The sequence below is a fragment of the Homo sapiens genome, chromosome 14 (assembly GCF_000001405.40).
Source record: "Homo sapiens chromosome 14, GRCh38.p14 Primary Assembly".
Classification (NCBI taxonomy): Eukaryota; Metazoa; Chordata; class Mammalia; order Primates; family Hominidae; genus Homo; species Homo sapiens.
The window spans coordinates 62008756-62033930 of record NC_000014.9 but is presented as its reverse complement, the minus strand read 5'-3'; the positions used below and the strand labels follow the sequence as shown (position 1 = coordinate 62033930).

The window sequence follows — 25175 nt, the reverse complement described above, 5'->3', positions numbered from 1 at the left end:
TCTTTAGGTTGTCTTTTCACTTTGCTCATCGTATCATTTTCAGCACAAAAATTCTGAATTTCAATAACATCCAATATATCTAATTTTTTGTTTTGTCACTTGTGCTTTTAGTGTTATATCTAATATGGCTTTGCATAACCCAAAGTCATGAAGATTTACTCTCAGGTTTCTTTCTAAAAGTTTTATTGTTTTAACTTTTACATTTATGTCTATGGGTCTGAGTTTATTGTGTGTATGATATGAGAAGGCTGTTTTTTCATTGGATATTAATTATATATTCATAAATCATACAGCAGCTCTCATGTCTTTCCATTTCCTATGGGGCACTAACTCAGTCCCTCTCCGTTCCACCTCACTCATGCTCTCATATACTCTCTTTCTTCACATTGGCTCATGAACTTGTAAAACAACTCAACTGATTCATGATTACTAAATTTCTTCCAGAATATGTGTTCTTGCTTTGAAAATTAAAAAGTGAGGTATCCTTTTTTATAACCAAGTAATATTCCCTTTGATGGATAGACCACATTTTGCCAGTTCCTGTGCTTTGTGCAACAGGCCGGGGAGGAAAGATATCCCTCATATGATAACCAAGATTTATACACTTATCAGTCATATTGTCAAATATTTTATTTCCACTTTGACTTTCAGGAGAAAAAAAAATGCAGTTGATTTCATTCATAACACAATCCGAAGTACACATTCTTATTTTGATTTATAAAATAGCTATATACTTACTTTTCAACTGTCCTATGGTTTTTAAGATGTCCTCTTGCCTTAATATTTAAAATCAAATACAATATTTAGCCATCTATTATTTTCTATATTGTATTTTTTCTGAAATATTTACCGAGAAATATTTTTCCTTAAGTTTAGTATGCTAACTGAACTTCAGTGGTACCTTAATTTCATGAAATGTTTTTCAAAGTTTGTTAAATTGTAATTTATGATCTAGTATTAGATTTGCATTTAACAGTTGCTATATTTCTAAAATTAGAATTAAAAGTGAACCAATTCAGATGGGTTTATACCCAAAACAATTAGGGATACAAATTTCTTTCATTGTAGTGACACTTTCATTAGCTAAATGGGCTGTAACAAAAAAAAAGATTGTGTTTACCAAAATATTTTAGTCCTGAAACAACCACTCCTCCCTCCACCCCAATTAAATAAGTTCATTTTAATCTGTTAAATTTACCTTAATTTTTTTTTTTTACTAACTGTAGAAGCTCCACGATCTGTCAATATTATGTTTAATCAGATTTCCAAAACTTCCGGATGAGAGTTTTGCTTGCAAAACTAATTAGGAATTTACAGCTAAAATATCATTGTCATTATTCAGTATCATTACCCTATGTGAATTCATTTTTATAAGCTCAAATAACTAATATATTCATAAATTCAAGTAAGAATTTTCTGTGTATTAGGTACAGAAAACCATCCTAAGCTAATGGATATTACAAAATAATAGATTCAAAATTGCCACTGCTTGCAGGAGTCAAGAAAATGATCCTTGATTCTTTTAAATGTCATAGACTAACAGACTTTTAGGATGGTATACTATTCTAACTCTTATCTTACCAAGAAAGGAATTAAAAGCCACAAAGACTAAATGGTTTTACCATAGTGAAGAAAATGACAAAATTACCTTAATAGCATCCTACATTTCTATGGAATTTTAAATTTTATTAAGATGTTCAGGTGCTAGCAATCATGCCAACATTCTCCCTCTTTTCTTTTAAGCTTCTACCCTTCTTTTGTAACTTGAGTTTCCTTCAATGTCACATGCTTTCTTTTCACTCAACTTACTGGGTCATTTAATTCATCATTCCCGTTTTCGTCATCCAAGCCACCGAATTTCCTTCTAACCTCTCTAGCCATTGTCAAGGCAATTCACCTGATATTCTGTACTCCATTAAATTCCCTTCCATTTTTATAGTCTGCAAATTGTGCTGCTGCCTTTCTTAGATTTTAGTATCTACAGCCTCTTGCTTTTAGGGTTCAGATGAAGTCCATCGTCTCTGTATAGGCCCTCCCTTATCGCAACAGTCTTTCAGTAGCAGAAACACTTAAAGCCTTCCTCTTTGGGTGAAACTCTGATACAGACACCACCCACTATTAATTCCAGTACAAGGCTTGTTTCCCCGGTGTCAAGGATTGATCAATTGTAAGTTACCATCTTACCTAGATGTTTTAATTTACCCAGGGAGTTGAGCTTATATTGAGTCATTACATGAATCATAAGGTCTGCTCCCTGTCACCACCTAATCATGTGGTTTACAGCAAGTTCACTATTATATATTCTCCAGGTCTCAGTTTCCTCGACAGTAATGAGGGGACTCTCCTGGATTTTAACTTACTTTTAGCTCTAAAACACTGTGATTCTTCTCACTTCCAGGCTCACATTTGCCCCTCTTGTTTTCATGATTAGTAGAAGGGAAAAGATGCCCGAAAGTTCAACTACCTGTTCACATAGATTAGTAGCTATTTGCCTTTCAAATGAAGTTGAACTATTTTCTTCCACCTTTAAAATACACTGTGAACATCATCTCCATTTCTGAACAGCTCCACAGTGTTTTTCTAACTATAGTGTTTGTGCTAAATGTGAATAGACCAGCAAATTAATGCGGTTTAGCTCATTCGAAATCCAGATTGGCAAGTCTCTTTCTCTGAACTCAACCAAATAGGAATCAGTTTTAAAGGCATGGTTGTGTTTCATATAGGGAGGAGGCTTGTATTTATTTATGCATTGTGGCCTTCCATTTTTTAACACAAGCCATATATTTTCAAAGAGACTTTAAAGCAAACTTGCAAAATATTACACAAAGCAGGTTTTAACAGTTCAAGAAAGTCTATGTCGTATAGCTTATGTGCTTTACAAACATCCCATGTAATTCTCACAGCAATACTGTGAGGCAGGCACTATTATTTCCTGCATTTTATAGATAAGGAAACTGAGGCAGCTAAGTTAGCAGGCTCAAAGTAGCCTAGGCTTCAATCCCACATAGTCTGGGAGCACATTATTCAACCTGAAATCAAATGATATGGCATCTCTGGTGCTTATTAATAACCAAATGCAACAGATAAATTATGGCTTTGATTTCCTTTCTTTGCAGCTTTCATTTTATAAATACAAAAGGCCACTGTCTGAAAATCCATTTTGTTTCATCAATGCTTGAATTCAATCAATGATAATACACTCTTGGCTAATTGAGAGAAAGGTTAAAGCCACCTTTGAATGTGATTAACAAATAACCAAATGAAAAACAAAAACCTTTATACCTATGGCAGACTGATCAGAGCTACATTCTGCTCCTGGCAAGAAGTGAAACAGGTAGTTCAACTGCAATTGTGTGAAAGAGAAAGTGAGAGTAATAAACAAAATGTATAGCACAAATCTAGATGGGATTTGGACTGGTGTAGTTCTATGTATCTCTTATTTCCCAACAAATTAAGGTAAATTGAGGCCACACTTGTCTCCGTACAATTCATCATCCAAAGACATTTCAGAACGATTTCCACACAGAGGATCCATCGCATAACATCAACATCACAATGGTTGCATTTTCAATATTCTCTGAGTAAGTTCTGTTTAAAACACTTTCAAAACTAATTTTTTTCCCGGCAGGATGATATAAGCGGACAAAACTACCATGCGACTGAAAAGGAATTGATCAAAATACGGAGTCAGAGACATTGGCAAAAATGGCTTTAATCTGAGCAGAAAGATACATTTCAGTTTGGCTTTGTATTGAATATTTTCAATAATGGTCAAATTTTCCTACTGTCCTAACCTCCTTAACAAAGCTAAACATCTTACAGCTTATCTGTGCTATCTCCTGATGCCTCTTCATGGAAGAAGGTGGGAGGGATGGGTGGTGGAGGGTGGTCAGCTACCAGCTGCTGTTAAAATCTGTCAACTGGCAAGTGAAGCCTTCTGATTTGTGAGCAATTTCCAAAAGAAAAAAAATCAGAACTACCATCTGGGAAGTAGGAAGAAGATACCACTTGGCAAAAATGATTCAGAAAACACAGGCAAACACAGAAACACACACAAACATATCAATGTGTACACACACATACACACAGAGAAAGGCAATGGCCTCAGCTGATAAAACCATCAATCTCCTCCTACTACTTTTTTTTTTTTCCAACTAGACTAACATCAAAAGCGAGGTCAGAGGGTGAGCGACAGAACTATTGACTGGATTCTATTGATAGCCCCACTGCTGACTCACTACTCTACTTCAAGCAAACCACCTGTTATGAATTTAGGGCATAGTTTATCAATTTGCAAAGCAGGTGTGTGCATTCTCACCTTCCACAAATCATGAGGCTCATTTAAATGAGGATTTCAAAGAACTGTGCTATTCTGGGAATAGAACTCCCGAAAGGAAGTGTAACATGTCATTTTTAGAGTTCCAAATGATCTCCATACACTCATCAAGAGTCTTCACAATCAACAGAAAACCACCAGTGGGCACCGCTATTCGCTCAAGCAGGTGCAGTGGAAAAGCCCGACGCCTATTCCCAGCATGAAACATGGCTGCCCCAAGTATTGGAAGAACATGATGCTCTTTCTATCTCCTTTTCCTCCCACATTCACCCAAGACTGTGCTCCAAAGGGACCACTTCACAACCAGGTGTGATGGTGGGTGCCTTTAATCCCAGCTACTCAGGAGGCTGAGGCACAAGAATCACTTGAACCGGGGAGGCAGAGGTTGCAGTGAGCTGAGATCATGCCACTGCACTCCAGCCTGGACAACAGAGCGGGACTGTCTCAAAGTTGCAGGGGAGAAAAAAGAACCATTTCATTCTTAACTGTGATGCTCAGGCTGGCCCTATGGGAACCACTCAGATGAAAAGTAGTTATGCAAAGCTTGCTACTCTGGCCTCATTCTGAATTTTGCACTGAGGGATAGGATAGCTACTTTCAGTATTAAGAAATAGTTCCCAGAACTTAATGTTAAAACATTCCACATTTGTCTTTGATTTCACCTGATAAATTCCACTCAGTTTCTCCTACTTTTTCTGAATTACACTTTAAGGTACTGTCATTATGCACAATACTTTCAAGTTCATAGTTATAAATTAATTGTAAATTTTCTTTTACAATTATCTTTTAAACTCAATTAAAAATAGTATGGGGTTTACTTTTTTTTAAAAAAAGAGTATTTATTTCAGCACTAGTTGTACAATAGAAGAACATAAGACTTTGGTCTCTCAGAATGGTAACATTTTAATGTCTTTTCCCATTCAGTCATAAACCTGTTCTCCTTAATTAGCCTTTTCAGGTAAACCTTAATCCTACTTTGACACTTATAATTAACACATAAATTAATATAAAAATTTTTCCAACTCACCTAAAAGTTTAAATGAACAGAGGAATTTCACAGTTAATTCTGTATAGAGAGACCATAACATTGTGGTTAAGAGACAGGCTGCCTATATTCAAATCTTGGTCTGTCAAATATGAGCTGTGTGACCCTGGTAAGTTTAAATGCTCTGTGCCTCAGCTTCCTCTTTTGTAAAATGGAGTTAATAGTATTTACAGAATTGTTGGGAGGATTGAATGATTTAGTGTACATAAAGCATTTAGAACTCGTACAGTAAGCAGGCTTTCAGGAAGCGATAGTGATTATAATCATTGTCATCCCAACCACAACACTGTCCAATACAACTTAGTAAATGCACAACCCACTGTGTTTGGGGCTCTAATCAAACCATTGCAAGACAATCAATTGAAGGTAGAAGCCAAACATAAATGACTAGTCAGCACATCATATAATGGCATAACACAACTGAGCAAATTCTGCCTTCCAAAACCCAGCCAGGCCAGGAAGGACACAGAGCTGTCTTCTCAATATAGAGAACCTCAGATGGAACATCACAGCCTTCAGTGATAAGAAGGATAAGGGTAATAACACTTTCTGGCATATAAAACTCAGAGGTTTCTCTTTCCCAAGGAATCAAATCCCACATTTGGCACAACCCCCAGCAGTGAAGAAGTCTGCAATAAAAATGAGCAACATTTCAGAAATACACCGCCTGCACAAAATATAAAGTTCCCTCTGAAATAAAAAGGCTCTTTTCAAGCAGCTTGGGGAAGGCAAAAAAGGAGAACACAAGACTCAAATTAAACATGGCTGACTACAGACTTGAGATGTATTTCCAATCAGGGATCCATGTCTGATTCAATGGGCAGGTCAAAGACAGTGAAACTCCCAACATAACATAAAACATGCAAGGTCTTGGTGCTGCAGGAACCAAAGGATAGTGATCAGTGATATGTCACCTCTGAGAGTATTACTGTGGTGCATGTAAGGCTGGACTGAAATACAATGAACAACCAACTCATGCTTCAGTATAAAAAATGGAATATCTAGTGAGAGAAGGATGATAGTAAACATTTTTAAACAGTCAATGAAACATAGGTAACAACCTGTCAGAATACTGTCTGGATGTAAAAGCTTTGCTTATACCCATCCCTTCCATGTGCCCTTATACAGACCTAGGTCTAGAGCTACCAACCAGAAACTGAGGTTCCTCTCCATCTCTCTTCTTGGGCTCTACTTCTGAGATGGCTACAGCCATTCTCTTTCTTGGTCCTACATCGATATCATTGGATCTACATTCATTTTGGAAAGCATGGCTATCAGAGACATAACATGGTCAAGGCTGAATTAGGATGGGAAGCCATATACTGCAGTCACAGATGCTAAGGGGAGGAAACAGGAAAAGTAAGAAGCTCTCAGGGAACTTTCTCTCATTTTCCCACCTATTTTTAATGAAATAAAGGCTAATTTCAGAAAAAGATAAATTTAAGGCAAAGAGCATTAAATGACAGAGAAGTTAGTTTTACAAAGGATAAAAGACAAAATTCGCAATGAAGACATCAGCATCATAAACAATTTTGCGGAGACACACAGCATTGAAATGTATAAAAAACATTTAAGACATGCATTAAAAAAACATTTTAAGTCTCTGAAAGATCAAGCAGGCAAAAAAGTAGTTGAAAATAAAAATATAACTAATAGCTTCAGGTACATAAAACTTCATCTCTTAAAAGCAAAAAGGACACCTAATTTTAAAGTGTCAAAGTACCTATACTTGGTCTTAAAGGAAAAGCCAATACATTACTAGAAGGAGAAGCTGTTATTCATTTATTCTCATATATTCTCTGAGTACCTTCTACATGCTATGCGGTATACTGGCTCTGATGTTACAGTAGTAACCAAGACAGACATGCTGCTGCCTCTACAAAGCTTAGAAACTAGCAAATGAAAGAGAAAAGAAAATGGGGGCTATGGTTTGACTGTGTCTCCTTCAAAATCCAGGTGTTGCCAAAGTGGTAGTATTAAGAGGTGGGGACTTTAAGAGGTGATTAGGCCATGAGGGCTCCTCCTTCCTGAATAGGACTAAGACACTTACAAAAGAGGCTTCACATAGTGAGCTCACTCAGTGAATTTGCTCTCTTGCCCTTCCACCTTCTGCCATGTGAGGATGCAGCAAGAAGGCCTTCACCAGACACCAGACACCAGATACCAGTGCCTTGATCTTGGATATCCCAACCTCCAGAACTGTGAGAAATAAATGTCTTTTCTTTATAAATTACTCAGTCTCAAGTATTTAGTTATAGCAACATAAACAGATTAAGAAAATGGGTAATTGCAACAGTTTGAAATATACTTTGATATGACAATTGTATGGATCATGGGAGACATTCCCCCCACTCATTGTGATCCATGCTATACTTAAGGAAAAGGGCAGGTTGCTAAGCAAACAAAAAGACAGGGACAAAGAGCTACTCCAAACTTTGAGGGCTCAGATACTACATTACATGTAATAATTTACTATAAGGCATATAAAAGAAAAGCTACCTAATTTTTTAATGAAGACAGCAAAGTGTAGCAAACTTGGAGAATCACCACACATAACCAAATAAGGTTTACCTCAAGAATTCAAGAATAGTTTAATATTAGCAATTAATATGTATCATTTGATCCAATAGAAAAATGTAATTAGAGAAATATTTTATTGTTTTTTTTTTAACAATTTGCAAGTGACTATGGCAAGGGTGCAGAGTACAAGGTTAGTATTCAAAAGTCAACTGCCTTCCTATATACCAACAATAAAACTAAAATAGACCAGCAATAAATTTGAAATTTAAAATAGAATACCACTTACATTAGCACCCCCCAAAATGAAACACTTAGAAATATTTTTGACATTTTGGGGCTGGATAACATAAAAATATACAAAAAATTATGAAAAAAATAAACATTTCACCAAAGGCACAATCCATGAAATAAATAATAAATTGGACTGCATTAAATTAAAAACATCTGCTCTGCAAAACACACTGTCAAGAGAACCATAAGACATGCCACAGACTGAGAGGAAATATCTGTGAAAGATATATCTGATAAACGATTGTTTTCTAAAGTATACAGACAACTCTTAAAACTCAACAGTAAGGAAATGAAAAACCCAATTAAAAATGGGCAGAATGTTTGAATAGATAACCCACCAGAAAATATATACCAATGGCAAATAAGCATAGGAAAATACACTCACCCTCATACATCATTCAGGGGCTACAAATTAAAACACCAATAAGACACTACTACATACTTATTAGAAATGGTAAATGCTGGCAAGGATGTGAAGCAACAGGAACTTTCATTCATTGTTGGAGGGAATGCAAAATGGTATAACCACTTTGGAAGACAGTGTGGCAGCCTCTTACAAAACTAAGATTTCACTATATGATACAACAATTGTGTATTTGTCCAAAAGAATTGAAAACACGTCTACACAAAAACCTGTACACGGATATTTATAGCAGCTTTATTTATAATTGCCAAAATTTAGAAGCAACCAAGATGTCCTTCAGTAGGTGAATGGATACATAAACTGTTACATCTAGATAATGGAATATTATACAGCCCTGAAAAGAAATTAGCTATCAAGCCATGAAAAGATATGGAGAAATCTTAAATGTATACTATAGGTGAAAAAAGCCCACGTGAAACACCTATATACTATATAAGTCCAACTATATAACATTCTGGTAAAGACAAAATTATAGAAACAGTAAAAAGATCAGTGGTTGTCAGGGGTTAGTGAGGAGGGAGTTATGAATAAGCAGAGCACAGAAGATTTTTTAAAGCAGTGAAAATATTATGTATGATGCTATAAATGGTAGATGCATATTATTATATACTTGTCAAAAATCATAGAACATACAACACCAAGAGTGCAGGCTAATATAAACTCTAGACTTTGGGTGATAATGATGTTTCATTGCAGGTTTACTGATTGTAATAAATCTACCACTCTGGTGGAGAAGAATGATAGTGGGGGGAAAATGGAGAACACAGGGTGTATGGGAACTATGCACTTTCCGATCAATTTTATTGGGAACTTAAAACTGCTCTAGAAAGTCTATTAACTAAAAAGCTATCTGTTTTCCATAATTTTTATTTTAAGGATAATACACATACATCACTTTTCTTAAATAAAAGAGTAGTAATCAGTAATAAAAATAGCAATCCTTTGTCCCACCTCGCAATTTTGCTCCTCTGCAGCCAATATTTTAAACTCTTAGAGCTGATTCTTCTGGTATTTACCTTCATTTTTCTAAGTATATTTACACTACTACTTTTCACTTATCAAGTTTGAATATTATAGAATTCCTGCGGTAGATGAAACTCTAGCTATTTTGCACGACTTCCATTCTCTTCCACCTTTGTCCAAATATTATATACAAAATTTTTCATTAAGTCAACAGTTGCTATTTATATTATTATGACCATAAAGATATTGTTCATATCTGAGCTGTTTTACTAATATTTGTAAAAGGGTAACAGGAAAAAATTCAGAAAATATTCCACATTCCTAAGTGGAAAGGCATATTTTAAAGACACCATTTCTTCCTCTACTTTTTATATTAGATAAACACAATAAGGTTTTTATGGGAAATTGATAAAACATTTTCCCATATAAACTTTAGAATCAAACAGCCAAGACTAGCACATGTTTGAAAAAGAATACACTACCAATGTTTGGTTAAAGATAAGATAAACAGGACATGTTTGCAAGGTAGCAAGACTACACGATTAAAAAACTAAGGATGGAGTACCTTTTATCAGAATAACCATCCCACAAAAGCCACCTCTAAAAGCTGAATGAAAAAATATACACAATTGTTTGAACAAAATTTTGAAGCTATTCAAGAACAACTGGCACAGGTAGGACTTAAGAATCTATGATCCTTGAGAGAAGAAAAGCACTGAAGGTAATCTACACATTCACTTCAACTATTTCCTTGGGAGCACTGTTCAAAATTCCACCATGGGGAACTAGAGATGAAGAGAAAATGGTAAAATCAGCCAAAGCAGCTGGGACAAAATTCCTGGGAGTAGGTAAGCACAGAAGAGTGAACCCAAAAATATGAGTAAAAATTTCCCCCAAGTTGTTGGCCAATTCCTAAGCTGGCAGCTGGGAAACTAAAAAGCTAAGCAGAGATTTTATCACCTGTATGTTTGGGGGAAGTCAGAGTTTGGTGGTCAAATTCTACTAAGGTAAAGTACACTTGATAAATACTTGGACTTTCATTGAGATGTGAGGCACTGCAGGTTAGCAATAAGAGCCATCTCTAAGAACAAAGGTAAGACTGCAATAAACCTACCCAAACAAAGCCTAAAATAAGCCCTTGAAAGTGTCAAGGTAATCCACTGGTATTCCAGCTCCCAGCCAGCAGGGAAAAAGAAGAAAAAATCATGGACAGCCTCAACAATTTTTGATGCACAATGTTTGGCAGTAAGTCACAAATTACTGGGCTTACTGAAAAAACAGTACCAAATGACATAAAACCGAAGAGAAAATCAGTCAACAGAAATAGAACCACAAGCAATTCTAACAATGAAGTTATCAGACAAGGACTTTAAAATTATTAAGATTAATATGTTTTTAAAATTTTTTAAGCATGAATATTTAAATAGAGATGTAGAATCTGTTTATAAGGGGACTCAAATGGAAAATCTAGAACTTAAAAGTATTCTATAACTAAAATTAAGAATCCAATTGATAGCTTTGCACAGTGGCAGTATCATAGCCAATGAGTACACAATTATTGCTAAGTGAAATAATCCAATTGATGAACCCAATGGCAGATTAGACAAAGCAAAGCAGAAAATAAGCAAACTGAAAATGCCTACACTGAAGTACATTTTTTAAAACCGGATAGTAAAAAAAGCACAAATAGTGTATGACATATATACATATGTCTGTGTGTGTGTGTGTGTGTGTAATACAAATTATAGAAGGAGAAAAGGAAATGTGGCAGAAGCAATATCTGAAGAAATAGGGGCCAAAAATTCTCCAAAATGAATGAAACATCAAACACGAAATCAAGATAAATAAAAAGCAGATCACACCTAAATACATCATGGTAAAACTGCTTAAGAAAACAAAGAGAACTCGCAGAAACAGCCAGTGCAGAACAGAATATTAGCTTCAAAAGAACAATAAGAATGAGGTCTAAATATTCAACAAAAAATTTCAAAGCTGGAAGACAATGCAATGATATATTTAAAGTGCTGAAACAAAAAAAGAACTACCAATTCAGAATTTTACTTCAAAAATAAAGGAAAATACATTTCAAACACATATATGCTAAGAAATTCATAACCAGCAAACTGGCACTATGAGAAGTACTAAATGGAATTTTTGAAGCTAACAGAAAACAGTCTCATATGGAATTATGGAAATGTAGAAGGGAAGATTGAGTACATGTGTAGGTAGATATAAAATACTGACTAACAAGAATTATAATACTCTTCCCATTGGAAAAGATTGTCTCCCACTCCTTAAAAAAAAAAAAGAAAAAGAAGAGATTTGCAAAATTATAACTTTTATTGAACCCATTAGAAAGCACTTGGCTTTTAGGGCAACCAAAATAACCCAAAATTTAAGAAAAGACAGGAGCCTCCAAAGGGAGACAAGATACTAGAATTTGCTTACCTGAGACAGACAGTGGACCCCTGACAAGCCATTAGGAAGAATTTCAGCTAAAAGTTTTAACAGACTGCTAAAGACCAAGTATGAGTTAGCAAGAGAGCACAAAACTTCTAGGAGCTGCAGACAAAATAGAAATTTACACCCACTCACAGACTCTTCTCAACCACCTTCACTGGATGCTAATGAGAAAGACTGGGGGCTGAGGGAGAGACTAGAGAAAGCCTCCCTTTTAGTCCATTCTTGGTAGAGGGAAACAGCAGGCACTGTGGAAAACAGCACTAAATCTACACAGATTCTTGTCCATCTTTCCTAGGAAAAAATAGACTTAAGCCATTGGGGGAAGGACAGAAAATCCTGTTGGCTTTTGGGCACAGTTGAAGACCTCTGCAACTGGGGAAAGGGAACAGGAAAAAAACAACAACCGAAAAAAAAATAATAATAATAAAATAAAATAACCTCAACCTCTAACACTGTAGAGTGGCAGGAATAGAGCCTGGGCCCAGGTCATGAGATGTCTCCTACATCTGAGAAAGAGGAAGGATTAATAAGAAGGCCACACCCATGACAGCCAAGGAGGTAACACCCACCTAAGACCACACTTACACCAGAACAACAAAGACCACCACTCCATTCTGCCCACTAGGCAAATTCCAAGCAATGCCTTAGAAAATGCAATAAAACTTATTTTGGATTTTACTCTTGCCTTCTGGAGTGATTGTGACCGTAAAAGCAATGGAATAATCATCCCCTCAAAATGATCAACTCACACTCTATAAAAGCATATTTGGAAAAATATTTACAGAACATCACAAAAAGCCTTAATAATTATTATAATACAAGATGAGTTCTTAGGAGAGGAATTAAGAAGAAAATTTCCAACACAGAATAAAACCATGAGCAGGGCACCGACATAGAGAGCAGGTACACAGGTTTTTTAAAAATCAGAAACAGCTCACACTCCAAGAAAGAATAAAATGTCACCACTTATGAGTGTGAACCTTCACAGCTTTGCTCTTTCTCAAGCCACCTGCATCCTGAGAAGCCATGTGGCTGCATGGATCATGCCCATGGTCACTGCCAAGCAGCATAGGTGGTGTGTGCCAGCACTGGGGACATGCGGTGCCCCAACCATCACAGTGGTTATGCTCGCTTAGAAATCTCCAGCTTGATCCTAGGAGGCTCCTGACGCCCACCAGGAATTTTAGCTAAGCTTCGCCGAGATTCCCTGAGTTTAACCAAAGTCAGAACCAGGTGGAAAGAGCCCACTGCTGGCTGGTGAAAACGAATTGGAGAGAGGGAAATGAAAACATGGACAACTTTTTAAGAGTTGAAAGGGAATCTCCGTTACCTTTTGTCCCCCTCCTCCCTTGGAAAATGTGGAAAACTTTGCAACTGAACCCTCCAAATTCAATTCAACAATTCCTGGGCAAATGTATGGGTAACTTTAGGAACTATTCTAAAGACGGAGAGAGAAGAGGACAGAAAGAGGGAGAGGGAGAGGTGTATGCGGTAGGATCACATGTGCTTTCCTAAAATTAAGTGACAAAGATGGATATTATTATATATTATATTATACAAGATATATACACACACAGTAGTAAACTTGAGTGAGGTGGCATGTTAATGTACTTTTACTATTGAGGTGAAAAAATTCTTTAAGAAAATGAAATAATTGAGGCTTTTAAACATTTTGGAATCACTCACTGAATTTCTTTCCATCCCACTGAAATAAGGTGTCACAAAATAAGGGATCAGAATTCAGCATGAGAACTCCATCAAGACTGTCAGGCAAATTTCTTCAGGAACCACTACATGTGATTTATGAAGTGACCCAGATAAAATCAAATTCCTTCATGAATTTAAACCTATCTCTAACTAGTAAGTTAGAAAAAAACCTGAAAGGATTTCTTTATTTAAAAATTTAAAAAAGAACAATTCCCTTGACTAATTCTGACTACCGCCTATCTCCAGGCCTTCTGGCAGCATTACTAGTGTTTGATGGGATTGTGGTCAGGCCACCATTTAGAATCAGGTGTCAGATAGGCGCTTTTAAATGATGTAGTGGGCAGCTCATCTTCACAGGAGCCCCAGGAAAAGCGGTCAGTGCCCGCTGCACTGCAATCACACCTCATAGGGTGGAACAGGGACTTCCCATGACTTAGATTACACTCTGCCTATTGTCTGATAATATAGCTGGCTAGCAAAAGAGGACTCACTGTGTTTGCAAACGTACCCCATGAAGAAGCAAACACCTGGAAGCATCTCCTTTGATTCTAGGCCAAACTTCACATTTCAAAAGACCATAAAGATAAAACAAAAAAAAGTACAGCAATATGTGAAAACAGAAAATGTGCTTGTTTCATCCTAATTCTGTGCCTGGGTTTGTACAGCTTCTCACATCTAACTAGATACCATTATCCTCGCATTTCAGATGAGAAAAGAGAGCCTCTACCTGTTCCCACAGGTACACAGCAAGAAAGTAGCAGCGTCAGCATTTGAACCCAGATGGCTCCAAAAACCAGGGTCTTCACACACACGCTCACTGTGATAAGTTAAAAAATGGGACTGACTCATTTCATGAAAAAAACATATCAAATATCTTCATTTCTGTGTTTAGTTCCACATTCCCCAATTCTTTTAAGAGAAAGGCGCATTCTAATTCTGCTAGATGATCTGCTAAAATTCAAGCTTAAAAATAAAATCTTTTGTATTACTACAGTGTTATTCCTTCTGTTCAAGCTTTGGCCTACTTCTTTCTAAGGCATTGTGAAGTGAAGAAAAACTTCACTTTTCCTTACATGTCAATAGCTTATAATTCCACTGATTACAAAACTAAAAATGTCTCACAGTAAATTCAGTCACTTAGTTTGTGAATGCTGTCACAATGAACTGTTTGGAAACAGAGTACACCAAATTTTTTAAAGTATTCTTTCATTTATTCAACAAAGATTTGTTACCACCATGAGGCAAGCGCAGATGCAGGGGCAACACCAGTGAAAGAGGTGGATGGAAACGCCTGCCCTCATGGAAACAAACAAACAAGTAAAACAGGTCCAATAGTAAGAAGCACCGTAGAGTGAAACATAAGGCATGGAAAGGGGATGGGGACAGGTGGAGAGTGGAGGGAGGTACCGTTTACATTCATGTAGTCAGGGAGACCTCTGAGGGGGCCACATTGGAGCAAAGACCCAACGGAAGTGAGTAATCCAGCCCTGGGGAGATGTGGAGTTTGGGTGTTCCAGATAGGGGAAACAGCTAGTGCAAAAGCATAACTAGCATTTTAGAAGAAGACCCAAGGTAGACCAGGCACGATGGCTCATGCCTGTAATCCCAGCACTTTGGGAGGCCAGGGTGGGCGGATCACCTGAGGTCAGGAGTTCGAGACCAGCCTGGCCAACATGGTGAAACCCCATCTACTAAAAATACAAAAAATTAGCCAGGCGTGGTGGCAGGTGCCTATAATCCCAGTTACTTGGGAGGCTGAGGTAGGAGAATCGCTTGATCCTGGGAGGCGGAGGTTGCAGTGAGCTGAGATCGTGCCATTGCACTCCAGCCTGGGTAACAAGAGCGAGACAGTCTCAAAAAAAAAAAAAAAAAAAAAAAAAAAAGAAGAAGAAGAAGAAGAGAAAGACCCAAGGGGACCAGAGTTCCTGAATCAGAGTGAGCAAAGAGAAAGGAACAGAATAAGGTCAGAGAGGCAACAGAGCTAGATGACACAGGACCTTATTGCCACTACAGGGGCTCTGGCTTTTACTCTAAATGCTTTGGAAATTATTGACAGCAAAGGAATGACATGCTTTGACGTAAGTTTAAAAGGAATGCACTATGTCGAAAACAGACCACATGAGAGGGAGAGATGGATACAGAGAAATCAGGAGGTAAGTTCAATAACACAGGGCGAGGTGGCTCATGCCTATAATCCCAGCACTGTGAGAAGGTGAAGCCAGAGGATTGCTTCAGGCTAGGAATTCAAGACTAGCCTGGGCAACATAGTGAGACACTGTCTCTACAAACAAATGAAAAAAATTAGCCAGGTGTCATGGTGTGCACCTGTAGTCCTAGCTACTCAGGAGGCTGAAGTTCACCTGAACACAGGAGCTCAAGGCTGCCGTGAGCTATGACCGCACCACTGCACTCCAGCATGGGTGACAGCATAAGACCTCATTTCAAAAAAAAAAAAAAACCACACACTGAGAATAATGGTTGCTTAAAGCACCACGATAGCAGTGATGGTGGGAAGACGCAGCCTGAGTTTAGATATATTGTAATGGTAGAGCCAACCAGAGTTGCTGATGGATTACATGCATGAATAAAAGGGAGAGGTATGAATAACTCCAAGATTTTTAAACTGAGAAACTAGAAGAATGAAGTTGCTATTTAGAGATAAGCATAATTGTGGAAAGCACAGGATTTTGAGAGGAGGTCAGAAATTCAGATTTGGACACACTAATTTTGAGGTATCTGTTAGACATCCAAGCAGAGTTATAAGCATATGCTTGGATAATTCAAGCATAGTTTATAGATTTGTCAGCATGTGAATGAGATTAGGATGTGATGATATCAGGAAGAGAGACCAATCCTAAGGCTGAGCCCCAGATCACGGTAACATTTAGAAGTCAGGGAGGCATTGGAGATCAAGCAAAGGAAACTAAGAGAAAGTGACCAGGTAAGTAGGAGGAAGCATTTATTTCCTACACCAACAATGAAACTTTGGATCTCTAAAGAATTATTAATAAAACCAGTATTTGATGAATATCAGTTTTCACAAATTTTCTTTTTTTAAATCCCCGCAATTCAATAAAACAGAGCAACCCAAAAGAGCATGCCACTAAGATTCTTTGGGCATGTTCTCCTCAAGTCTTCTACTTTGCCTGACAAAGTTATGGCAGAATTTCAGCAAAATTTAACTAACCTTCCCACTAACTTAAGTTGTGAAATATTTATTATGAATCTAGCACAGGAAAATCACAGTACTAAACACACTGGTGATGGGATACAGGGATGAGTAATAATATGGGGTCCCTGTTCTAAAGAGTCCACAGTTTAGCAGGAGAGCTCAAATATGTACATCAGAAATAGAGATAAAGTTAACATAGATAAAATCATAGCAGTTATAAAAACATACTTAGGCATCAAATAATTTGACAAGAATCCCATTATAAGCAATGCCATAACTTTATTTTTTTTCTTTTTTGAGACAGAGTCTAGTTCTGTCACCCAGGCTGGAGTGCAGTGGTGTGATCTCAGCTCACTTCAAGCTCTGCCTCCCGGGTTCATGCCATTCTCCTGCCTCAGCCTCCCGAGCAGTTGGGACTACAGGCACCCGCCACCACGCCCGGCTAATTTTTTTTTTTTTTTTTTTTTTTTGTATTTTTAGAAGAGACAGGGTTTCACACCGTGTTAGCCAAGATGGTCTCAAACTCCTGACCTTGTGATCTGCCCGCCTTGGCCTCCCAAAGTGCTGGGATTACAGACGTGAGCCACCACACCCGGCCAATGCCATAACTTTAAAGCAAAATGTACTTGAATTATTTCAAAGACTCAAATGATGATGATCTTATTAAATGTTCTTCAGCACTAATATTGAATGATAGTGCCTCTCTGGTATGTATAACATCTCTCTCATCTTTGCTACAAAATCTTTTAACAGGAGGACACCTCTTGTGAAAATGACTTGGAGCTGTGCCATGGAAACTGAAACATCATGACTTCATTTCCATAGCTGGAGTGCCAGAGAAGAGTTACTGCTCCCTTGATCTTTTGTTCCTGGAGCATGCTCAGGAGGTGTTGCCAGAACACATCAAGAGACACTGTAAATGGTTTCACTATTGACAAGTTTTCTGAAACAGACCCATTCACAGCTGTTCACGGTAACGGTGATACCATGTTAGCCACACCTGTGCAACCAGAGCTCCCAGGACTATCCTGGGGGAAGGACTCATATGTCTTGCCTTATATCTCAAAGAAACAATTAAGGACTAAGAGTGAAGGCTGACACAATAATAGTCACGATTTATTTTCACTTATTTTAGTTCGTTCAGGCTGCTATAACAACATACCATAAACTGAGTGGCTCATGGACAACAGAAATTTATTTCTCACAGTTTTGGAGGCTGAGAAATTCAAGATCAAGGTGTCAGCAGATTCAGTGTCCCATGAAGGCCAACTTCTGAGACAGAGTCTTCTCACTGTGTCCTCACATGGTAGAGGAGGCAAGGCGGCTTCTGGGGCCTCTTTTATAAGGGCACTCATCCCATTCATGAGGGCTCTGCCTTCATGATCTGATCATCTCCCAAAGGTCCCACCTCCTAATACCATCATACTGGGGACTATGTTTTAACATGTGAATCTGTGGAGGAGACACAAAAACCTTCAGATCATAGCACTTGTTTTTTAAGTCCTCATTAATGTTGGGAGGAGAAGGTCAAGGCAAATGTCTTCATAAGGCAAACACAGACTGTCAAAAATGTTAAGAACTTCGGCTGCATTCTTCTAATAATCTGTAATCTAAAAGTATTTATAGGATATTTACACTGGTCATCTTTCTGGAGATGATGAAATACAGTGGTGACAGCTAAGATTAGGTTTATGTTCCTTCATTTAGCCATTCATTTTTTTTTTTGTTAATGAAACTGATGCCATGCTAAATGCTGGCAATGTAAAAATTATTGGGAAAGCATAAACCCCTCAAAGAGTCTACAGATTTGAGTGGGTACATCCATAAAAAAATTTAGATACAATATAAAATCTATATTATTGAGAAATGTAACATGCTATCGGAACATAGAAGAGGAAGCAGCTAACTGCCAGAAAAAGGCAGGGAGAGGGAATGTGCAGAATGCAACAGAAGCTGGAGAAAGAAGACAAGGAAGGCTTCCTAGAGAAAATGCTGCTTGAGATGACTCTTGAAAGATGAACAGTTTTCACGAGGAAGGCACAAGGTTGGGGGAGATGAAACCAAAGGTTTTAGGTATAAAGTGTACTTAGTATTTCAGGATGCTAGAAGACAGTAGACATAAATCATTGAAGGCTATGTATCTTTCAAAGGAAGTTGTACTGGAAGGCTTTTTGTATGAGAAAATATGAAATCTGATGCAGACTTTAAAATGAACATTCGGAGGGGGAAACTCAAGAATGAATAAAAGATGGAAATAACATAAAAATAGAGAAACCAGCCGGGCGCAATGGCTCGTGCCTGTAATCCCAGCCCTTCGGGAAGCCAAGGCGGGTGGATCACCTGAGGTCAGGAGTTTGAGTCCAGCCTGGCCAACATGGTGAAACCCCGTCTCTACTGAAAATACAAAAATTAGTTGGGCATGGTGGTGGGCACCTGTAATCCCAGCTACTTAGGAGGCTGAGGCAGAAGAATTGCTTGAACCCAGGAGGTGGAGGTTGCAGTGAGCTGAGACTGCACCATTACACTCTGGACATTATTGGAATAGACCAAGCAGAAGAGGATGCATATCTGAATTAAGGTAGTAGGGATAAGGAGGAGTTGGACAGATACAAGATAAGCAGCAGAGACGGAATCAATAGGATTTGGTATATACTGAACAAAATATAGGCAAGGTGGGGGAGCTGTGAAGGATAAGAGATTGAGAAGGACTTATATCTTACTTTGATAACAGGATGTCCATAACTAAGAAAGGAAGATGATTAGTTATGTTTTTAAACATGTATGTGATATCTGTCATCCACGTGAAGGCAGTTGGATCTGTGAACCCACGGTTCGAAAGAGGTCCAGACTAGAGATGAAGATTTGTCATGGAAGTCATGGAAGGATGCATAAGAGGGAACCAAATATTTAAGGAACGGGCAAAGGAAGGTGAATGAAAAGGAATGACTAGGAGTGGCAGGGAGAAAACCAGGAACAAGTGGAGTCCAGAACCCAGGTAAGGAATGCATTTCATGGGGGGAATAGTCAACAATTTTTTTTTTTTTTTGAGATGGAATCTCGCTCTGTTGCGCAGGCTGGAGTGCAGTGGCACAATCTCGGCTCACGGCAACCTCCGCCTCCCAGGTTCAAGCAATTCTTTTGCCTCAGCCTCTCAAGTAGCTGGGACTACAGGTGCCCACCACTATGCCCACCTAATTTTTTTGCTTTTTGTAGAGACATGGTTTCACCATATTGGCCAGGCTGGTCTTGAACACCTGACCTCATGATCTGCCTGCCTCGGTCTCCCAACGTTCTGGGATTACGGGCATGAGCCACCGCACTTGGCCGAATAGTCAACAATTTTAACTGTCAAAATAAGTCAGGTAAAGTTGAAGGAGGTGGGGAGGAAGACTGATTTTGCTACTAAACCATTCAGGAGGTCACGGCAATCCAAACAAACAAACAAAAAAACATGCCCATGGGAGTGACAGAAGAGAAGCCAAATCACAGTGAATGAAGAAGCAGGCAGGAGGAAATGGAGACTGCAAATACAGCCTATTTTCCCATAAACTCCTTAAACTCGACCTAGGAATGTGTAAGTCCACTCTCAGAAACCATAATGCCCAGGAATTTTTTCATTGCCAGTAAACGCTGTTGAGCTGAATTTCTTGTAGCAAAGGCATGGGCTGGAAGTGGGGGCACTTCAACCCCCTTTGGGACAACCATCACCATGAGGAGAATGCCTTGATGTTTTGAGTCAGATACATGTGGCTTGAAAACCCAGCTTCTTTACCATATAGTGACACTGAACAAGCTACTTAACCTCCCTAAAATGATCACCTTTTATTTAAAAATAGGAATAATAATCTACCACCACTCTGGATATACCTCATAACATTTCAATGATGATTAAATAATATATGTAAAAAGTCTACCATAAGTTAAGGTTACAACGTAGTTAACTACTATATAGATAACTACTATATAGTTAAGGATGTCACTCTCTACTTATTATTGCTAACATTCACAATTAAGAAGTTCTTCACCTGAAGTGATCTACAAAACCAATAAGGATTCTTGGCAAGTCTCTTGTCTTAGGCACTTTCCGTGTGAAAGCTCATGCTAATGTGAGTTTCCCTGCAGTCTGTATTCCTTTTACTCTCTTTATAATTTCAAAATCAATTCAAATATATAGATTTAGCTTGTAACCAAAATCATCTTAAGAACAATTCCTGGATGCACCATTTGCAGAATAGCCAAGGTAAAGTAAAAGTTGCCTTTTAAGACAAAAATATAATTTCCTCACCTAAAAAAAAATCTATAAGAGTAAATAACTCACATGAAGGCATGTAAGTAGCTCCCACCTTTTGTGCAATTTCTCTATTTACTTAAATGGACAATATAGAATCCTGTGGTAAGAAGATGCTAAAGTAGTCCCCCCTGAGCCCCATTTTCTAGTGTCCATGCCTTTGGTGCCCCTCCCCCTTCAGCACTGATGGCACTTGTGCTTCCAACCAGTAGAATATAGCACAGGTGATAAGATGTCACACCACAATTACATTACATGAGATTCCTTTTGCTATCAGACTCTAGCTTGATGAAGTAAGCAGACATGTTGGGGAAGCCTACGTGGCAAGGTAGCCTCTGGGACCACAGACAGCCTCCAGCAGTTGAGGGTGGCCTCCAACCAACAGCCAGCAAGAAGCTGGGGCCCTCAGTCCTATAACTACAAAGAAATCAATTCTGCCAACAACCTGAGAGAGCTTAGAAGTAGACTTTTCCCCAGTCAAACTTCCAGATGAGGATGCAGCCCAGCTGATACTTTGATTATAGCCATGTGAGACCCTAAGCAAAGGATTCAGCTAACACATGCCTGGACTCCTAATCCATAGAAACTGTGAAATAATAAATGTGTGTTGTTTTAAGCCACTAAATGTGTAGTAATATGTTATGCATGAATAGATAACTAATACAGATCCTATATGGTTACACTATTCTAAAAAGGTGCATGAGAGGTTGTTTTTTTTTTAACATGCAGGAGAAAAGCCATGATCTAAATCAGCAGTGACAGATGATGCACAGCATCAAATATATATATATATATGTGTGTGTGTGTGTATATATATGTGTGTGTGTGTGTGTGTGTGTGTGTGTGTATATATAGTGTTCCCTGACTTGTGGTAGACATGTGTCCATAAGCACTGAGAAATAGGTGTTTGGGGTCCTGTGGTGATATACGGCATATGTGGTGACACAACAAATCTAGGCTTTTCCTTGAAACAGGCTTGTAAACAGCATTCAATGTCAAAGCAGTGGAGAGGTCTATGAATGGCATTGACTCCTCTAATAGAGCTGTGGGGTTTTTTGACACCCATCATCTATTCTTTCCACTTCTGGAATCTTCATTTTCTTCAGTAAATCACCTTTCCTCCACTCTCAGGTAGTTTCTGGAAAAGCTCTCTACCCCAAACACCAGAAGTAGCAGGTGACTTAGGCCTGGCCAATCAGAACATCACATTTCCCTGGCTTCAGAGATTGCTAAAGTTTGTCACATAATTTAAGTCAAGCCACGTGAATCAAGCCAATTAGTGCTAATCCCAGGATTTTCTTCTTATTGCCAGAAAGTGGTGGTGTTTTTTTTTATTTTTCTCCACTGGATTGTAACCTAGGAGGATATAAACCTGGAGGTTCTGGTAACCATCTGACCACACATGGAGCTTGAGAATGGAGCCAGCTCAGATGGAAGTAGAGATTAGAAACTGGAGTTGAAGGGGAGAAACTGGGTCCCAAAGATAACATTTGCACTTCTGGATAGAACTCCCCATGAAACCAGATTTACTCCCAGATTCATCCATTACTTGAGCTCACACCTTTATCTTTGCTTATAAGAAACCGAGAAATTCCTAATTTGAGTTTAGTTCAATTGTGTAAATAGCATGGTTTCTGGGACATAAGCAATATTGCCTCTATGTCACTTTATGGCTAAGAATAAATCCAACTTCGCAAAGGGAAATATTAAGGGTAAGAAATTGTGGTTCATGTACAAACTGATTTAGCAGACACCAAAAGAAGTAACTGCTGGTCATCATGCATCTAAATGTTGAAGAACAGTTTTCTAACTTTCTGCACATAGGGTTTGCAGTGGCTACTTTTTGTGAGATCGAAACAGAATAAAAACCAAGTAGTCCCAGAAAAACCTAAAGTTCTTATTTTGGTTTTGAAATAGGCTCTGATATTACAGCTTAAGAAGATACTGCTTGATGTTTCAACTTTGTTTATCCTCACCCCCACCTCCCCGCAAAAAAAAAGACAAACAATTTTTGAAATAATATAAAAGTTCTCAAAGTCCTTCCATGAACAGCAATGTCTCCTGTGATGATCCTATACCTGACATCCTTCAGTAAAAATGTATTAAATATTAGGAAATTTCTAGGATAGCAGAAATTCCAGAGTAACCACTGGATGGTATTACCGATGACCAGATGCTAATAAGCACGGGCAAAGTGAATCAATCGAATACCAAAACACTCCTCACCCCACCCCAGGGCATGACCAGTTATTTTTCCCTATACCCAGAATGTTCTTCCCTCAAATATTTGCACAGCTCTCATCTTCACTTCATTCAGGTCTCTGTTTACATGCTGCCTTCTCAGAGAGATCATCCTATAAAATATAGGACCACCCTATTAAGGTAGCATTCATCTAATTAATTTGTATCCCCTTATCCTGCTTTATTTTTCTACATGGCACTTTTCATCACCTGACATGTTATATTTATTTGTTTGGCTGGTGAATATCACATATGGGTAAGACATAGATGTCTGCTTCATCAGTTACCTATAATTTCCAGAAAGTGGCAGTTTACCTGCAGAATCTAAGTTTTGTGCACTTAACATAGACTATTTTATAATCTATACAAATGCTTTGACAATACTTTCACTACACTATTGGTCAAATTTCAGGGAAGCAGAAATTATTTCAACAGAGGCAATTTATTTAATACAGGGTATTGGTTTCACAGGTACTGGATGTCAAATGAATAGGAAGAAGAATAGGGAAATAGGCCAGAGATTACAACTGCATGAAGCAGCTAGCACCCCTAGGACTGAGGAACCAAAGGGAAGCAGTCAAATTATCAGAAATATCAGAAATCGGAAGCACCACAGAATTGGGCTCAGGCATCTGAGGAAGAGAAACTGTCTGACAGGTGCTATTCCTCTGAGTGGGTTGCAATGAGGCTGGTTCTGGAACACTGAAAGAAGTTACAGACGAGAACCCAAACTGCTGATAGCAGAGTGAGGGGCTGTGCTGGAGTACCCCTAATAGGAACAGTGAGTAAAACAGGAATCAGTAAGTCCCTTCTCACCTCCTCCCATCTTTCAATGTCTTTTTACTGCTCTTTTGGGCATAGGAGAACCTAGGAGGATCCCGCCAACATAGGAGAACCGTAGTTTGCAGAATTCTAAACCCAACATCCAAAGCAGAATCTAGAAGAATGGATTTGAGCTGAGAGATAGTAGTTTGAGAACCAGCACAGATTCCAACACATTTCTCCAATTTTATATTCTTAGAAAAGCCAAAAATGAATGTACAATGATTAACTCCTGACTGTATTATTACTAGTTTCCTCTTGTAAACTTGGTTGACTTTAATCTAGAGTAAGACAGATAAAATTCAGGAGGTCCATGAACCCATGAAGTGTCATTATAAATTTTTTTGATATGTCATGATGTATCTTTCTGGACAAGTGAGTTTGTAACTTTCATTAAAGTTTCAAAGGAGCCTGTAAACCTCCTAAGATTTGGAATCACTGCCCATGTTCTCATTTGTTCATTATTTAAACTTGCTACTAAACAAACAGACAACTTCTAATACTTAGATTCTTTTAATGCCTTAAGTTCACTATTGACTATGACTCTTTTGGTGACAGAGAGAAGAAGCCAATATGAACCATCTAAAGATAAAGCAAGGGAAGGGAAGGAAATTTATTCAAGGGACCTCGACCAGGAAAGAAACTACCTACTTTAAGAAGGAGGTGTAGAATAGGACTGTCTCTTCATACATACCATCTAAATAAACTCCAGTATATGTGCTCAAAGAGATATTAATATTGCAGAATTATTTTTAATAGTGAAAGTTTAGAAACAAACTAAATGTTCATCAATTGAAGGATGGAAAATGGTATATTAATTAATACAGTTGACTACCATGTAGCAGTAAAAATAAAACAAATCTACATGTATCTGCATAACTCAAAAACATAACATTGAGAAGG

General features: G+C 38.0%; 1 protein-coding gene across 17 annotated transcripts in view, besides 1 other annotated feature; it reads right to left on the bottom strand.

The window, feature by feature from the left end:
* The window catches only part of SYT16 (synaptotagmin 16), a 300664-nt gene that overhangs the window by 78895 nt on the left and 196594 nt on the right, over nucleotides 1-25175 (bottom strand). The gene's annotated exons all lie outside the window — the stretch shown is intronic.
* Nucleotides 4891-4940: a silencer, noted in NCBI's record as "silent region_5826". NCBI's record gives its function as "represses an Ori minimal core promoter by ATAC-STARR-seq in GM12878 lymphoblastoid cells {active_cell/tissue: GM12878}" and the evidence as "EXISTENCE:reporter gene assay evidence [ECO:0000049][PMID:35858748]".